Source organism: Homo sapiens, chromosome 10, assembly GCF_000001405.40.
Source record: "Homo sapiens chromosome 10, GRCh38.p14 Primary Assembly".
Taxonomy (NCBI): Eukaryota; Metazoa; Chordata; class Mammalia; order Primates; family Hominidae; genus Homo; species Homo sapiens.
Window position 1 is genome coordinate 27,346,335 of NC_000010.11, and position 5,139 is coordinate 27,351,473.

The 5,139-nt window shown below is 39.7% G+C and overlaps 1 pseudogene; it reads right to left on the reverse strand.

Moving 5' to 3' along the window:
* Positions 1-3,180: 3,180 nt before the first annotated feature.
* On the reverse strand, positions 3,181-3,976 carry FAM210CP (family with sequence similarity 210 member C, pseudogene; annotated as a pseudogene).

Sequence of the window (5,139 nt, forward strand, 5' to 3'; positions counted from 1 at the left end):
TCCCACTTACAAGTGAGAACATGCTGTATTTGGTTTTCTGTTCCTGAATTCCTTTGCAAGATAATGGTCTCCACCTCCGTCCATGCCCTTGCAAAGGTACATATACACCATGGAATACCATACAGCCATAAAATCAACTTATTAATTAAAGTACTTTTGATGTCTTAATAATGTTGACCCTGCCTAATCATGTAATGTCATAATTTTTCATTTATACAAATCTATTTTTAGGTTTTTAAGAAACATTTCGCACCAATTCCATACTAATTAAATTATTTTAAATAATTTTCTTTAAAATGTTGGCATTATCTCTTTTCCATCTATGAACACAAGACATTCTCATTAATTCAATTAACATAATTTGTTGTGTTAATGAATTTCCTAACGCGATGAGTCTCACCTGCATTTCTGGAATAAATGGACTTCCTAATGATCTAATATTTTAAAGGGTTGGCACAATGGTTTTTAACATTCAAAAATTTTACTTTCATATTAATATGCTCTAATTATGTATAATACTCCATGCGGCATCAAACAAGTAAAGTTATCATATCAGTTTTTTTCATTTTTAAAATAGTTCAGTTTTATTCTGCTAGTACCATAAAAACAATGTAAACACAAGCGCTTTGTACATCTTTCTGGTGAATTCACATAATGCTTAGTTCCCTGATCCTTTGACCTCCTCGTCTTCTCCAGTTATTTTCTGTTTGAACCACTGGCCTCAGGAGTGGAGTAGGTTTGGTGCTTAGGAGAGAGCAATGTGGCTTTTTGGTATGACTCGTTTGCCCTCTCAGCACACTCCCGTTACTCCTAACACAAAGCTTGAGGTTTAAGTCCTTAAACCTGTAGGTTTCACCATCAGCTTTTTCTTTCTTTCTTTCTTTCTTTCTTTCTTTCTTTCTTTCTTTCTTTCTTTCTTTCTTTCTTTCTTTCTCTTTCTTTCCTTCCTTCCTTCCTTCCTTCCTTCCTTCCTTCCTTCCTTCCTTCCTTCATTTCCTCTTTCTTTCTCTTTCTTTCTTTCTCTCTCTCTTTCTCTCTCTCTCTTTCTTTCTTTTTTCTTTTTCTTTTTTTTCTTTTCGCATAGGCATTACTAGGGATGTGAATGGGAGACTGGTGTAGAAAGTGCTGAGGAGCCGAAGCCAACAAATTGCTTTAAACACAAGATGAAAATGCTCTGTTCCATCCACACAAAGAATCACCTAATACTGGTGTGAGGCATCTCACTTAGCTGTGGAGGAGTCCTTGGAATTAGATCTCAGAAAGACAGTTCTGGCTTTAAGACAGTAAAACCTTTTGGCAATGGGCCAATTGCCTTGAAAAAAAAAAAAAACCAGAGTTCTACTTTAAAGACCTTGCAAGTGGAGAATTGTCCTACAAAGATTCTTGGAAATGTTAACAGAGATAACTGACATGGGTAACTGGGGGCCAACCAGGAACTGTCAACAGCCAGATCTCAGCAAACACAGGACAGCCAGTTAATAGTTCCTTCAGTTCTCTGATGACCACAAATGTAATTTTATTTTATTTAGCCTTGTGGAGGTTCTGCAACAAATGTAATTTTAAAGGAATTGGGAGCCAGAAAGATAAATGCAACTCCTTCAACTGTGTGACACGGCAGACTGATTAATCTGGGTTCCCAGAGTGTGGAGCAAGTGCCCTGCATTTGCACTTGCAGATGCAGAACGGCCCAGGGGGAACTTGCATGATGCTGAACCCCACAGGACAGAATTACTTCAATCGCCTGCTCCTGACTACTATAAGGAAGAAGTCTCAGTGTCTCAGTTTGGATCTACACTCGGATTTACTTGTCTTTTCTTTCCTTTCTTTCTTTCCTTTCTTTCTTTCTTTCTTTCTTTCTTTTCTTTCTTTCTTTCTTTCTTTCTTTCTTTCTTTCTTTCTTTTCTTTCTTTCTTTCTTTCTTTCTTTGTTTCTTTCTTTCTATCTTTCCTTCTTTCTTTCTTTCTCTCTCTTTCTTTCTTTCTTTCTTTCTTTCTTTCTCTCTTTCTTGTTCATTTCTTTCTTTCTTTCTTCTTTTTTTTTTTCTGGAGATGGAGTTTCCCTCTGTCACCCAGGCTGGAGTGCAGTGGTGCAATCTTGGCTCACTGCAACCTCCACCTCCTGGGTTCAAGCAATTCTCCTACCTCAGCCTCCCCAGTAGCTGGGACTACAGGTGTGTGCCACCATGCCCGACTAATTTTTGTACTTATAGTAGAGACAGGGCTTCATCATGTTGGCCAGGCTGGTCTCAAACTCCTGAGCTCAAGTAATCCACCTGCCTCAACTTCCCAAAGTGCTGGGATTACAGACATAAGCCACCGCACCCGGCCTCTATGCTTGAATTTCTACCCTTAGCTAATCTCTCTAACACACATGCCTTTCATTGGATAAAACTGGCTAGGCAGACTAATTACACCTTCCTGTGTAATACAAGCCCCTCCCTGGCTTGTATAGTTGCCTTCCACTTGTGACAAGTGCTATGAATTTTCCTTTTTAGGAAGTGATACACAATTTTTTTCTTGAACAGGATTTTTAACTCAAAATAATGAGATAGTGTAAACATCATGACAATTCTGGAATGTCTGAAGTTTGAGATAAAGATTGTCTAAGAAAAGCTAAGATTGTCTTAACTGTTTATATGTGGTATCTGGAACATGGGCATCAGGAATCAAGTGATGCCACTGCTACTGGGCAGAGTTTTCATATTTTATCTAAACAAATGACACTGACCTACTTTAATAAAATTTCAGAAAAGCCATCTGGAATCAGCCCCATCATGTCCAGATTGGAAGGTGTTTGGGGACCAATGAAACATACCAGAAATACTTTTCTTCCCCCAAAACAAATGTAATGAATGTCAAAGTATTGATACTAATTTAGATTGTGAATACATATTAAGTTTTGCTTCATTGATTGTAGCACTGGCAGCTGTTTTGCAGAACACTGCATATTAAACTGTAGGCAGCTGACAACAAATATCAGCGGAAGGGGATATTTAAAAGCCAGTTAAATTAATCATTGTTTTTTAGGAACCTGAGTCACGATTAATCCCCTGGAGCTTTTACAGACAGACCCTTGCCAAAAATCTCCCAGAAGGAACATCTGTAGGCTATTTTGTTTTGAGATGTAAACCCATCTGTGATGTCTTGCTGACATTTTAGATTATATATACAAGTCCTATAATGAATAGCATTCACAAAATTTGTGAAGCAAAAAAATTAAAATTGTTCAAAAGCCTGATTTTTGCTGGCAAAGTTTATCCATGAGAACATAGCAATTAGCCCCTTACCCCTCCAAAAGAAACCCTACAACCCTAAAACCAATCCAAATTGTGTAATTTAGAAGAAATAGGTTTTCAGTGCCTACGACTGAAGAGTTCATTAAGGTTTTGCAGCTGGAGGTTTTAAAAAATCCCACTTTTCGAAACTATCTGACGATCAAGGGCACAGAGACTAACGTAATGCTGATTCTCACTGGCGCAAACAGCTTGTGGATTGCATAGGCCACCACAAAGGTACTTGTGCCTGCTGCCATTTTTGACTGTACGAGGGACTCTTTAAATCCGAGTTTCAGCAGGACTGCAGACATGTCCACACCACTTGACACAACCATGTAAAATATGACCAAGGAAATGAATGAGATTCCAGTGTACAACGACACGCCAACAGTGTCATATTCTTGAAAAATCTTTTTCAGTTGCTGTGACTTGCTTTGCTTTTTCTCCTCTGTGCAGCTGACGCTGCTGCCTGTTCTCTCCGTGGCCTGGCTGAGGTCCTGGCTGCCGCGGCAGTCCCCACGGCTGTGCGGAGCAGCCGGGCATCTGGCCTGGGCAGGAGCAGGGCCAGGGCCAGGGGCAGCGGGGCACAGGGGGTGGTCGCGCCCAGGAGCCATGTGGCGCAAGGCCGGACCCAGGCGCCCACCCTGCCTGCCGGGCCCAGCCCCGCCAGCAACACGGCCATGGCGCGCAGCTGAGCTCTGCCCATATCACTTTTATATCCTTCCTGGAAACGATTGGGAAGATTGGTTACTTTATAACTTTTAAATAGTTTAAGAGTATTGGTATATTAATTAGTTCATGAGTAAAATTTTCTTCTGGACAATATAAATTTGGTGCTCTCTTGTGCGGAAAACAAATCTTTAATAAATGTTGTTTTTTCTATGAATATTATTTAATTTAGCATCTCTATCTCCGTAAGTATCTAAAAATACATATTCCTAGACTATATATGAGCCACATTTTAATGTTAATTTGCATCGAATCACACAATTTTGTCCCTATTTTTCATTTTAATATTTGTCTTTAAGTTCTTCTCTGCACTGTAACCTGTTGACACCTCCTTCTCAAGCTCTTTGTGTGGTCCCATCTATTTACAATTCACTAATAGTTTGGCTCAGGAATTTGGGGGTTAACTGCAGTCAGATTTTCAGCAGAGGCAGATCTCAGGGAAGCACGGAATCCGGTAAGAGACATGTGCTTTGCTGTCAGTATCTCATGTCTCAGACTCGGCATGTCCTGTTCTCTCCATGTGAGCCCCTATCTGCCTCCAGGGATCATGGAAAAACAGAGCCTCTCCCATTTTCATGTCTTTGAAGATGCTTGGTAGAAAGTTGTCATTTTTTTTGGTAATTGGAAACGAAGACAAAGTTTTTCCAAAATAATTTTAAGTCATCAAATATGTACTGTCCTTGTGTCTACAAGTGAGATGACAATTGTAGTTCTCTGGGGAAGTAAAGTCACAGGATCACAAGCCCATATCTCAGACCTCTATGCACTCATCGGCTGTTGTGAACATAAACCTGAGCCCATTGTCCCAGCAGCAGAAGGAAATCAAGCAAGTAGTTTATATTTCAGTCTGTGGGCAGAGTCTATTGTCTGTGGATCAATAGACAGAATACGTGCTCTTTTCTGGAAAAAAAATTCTGGGTCACGAACTGACCAGGGACAAATCCATTCAGGAAAGAGGAAATAATTACAGAGTCGTGAGTTAACCTGTGTGGAAATAACGGATGTCCAAGATCATAAACCAATTCATAACTGTTCCTAAATGAATTGTATGTAATTCTCACTGATGTCATTGTTGGATTTTGATGTATGATGCCACAGAATTTGTTTTCTGAAGGTTCTCTAGTATAATTTGAAAA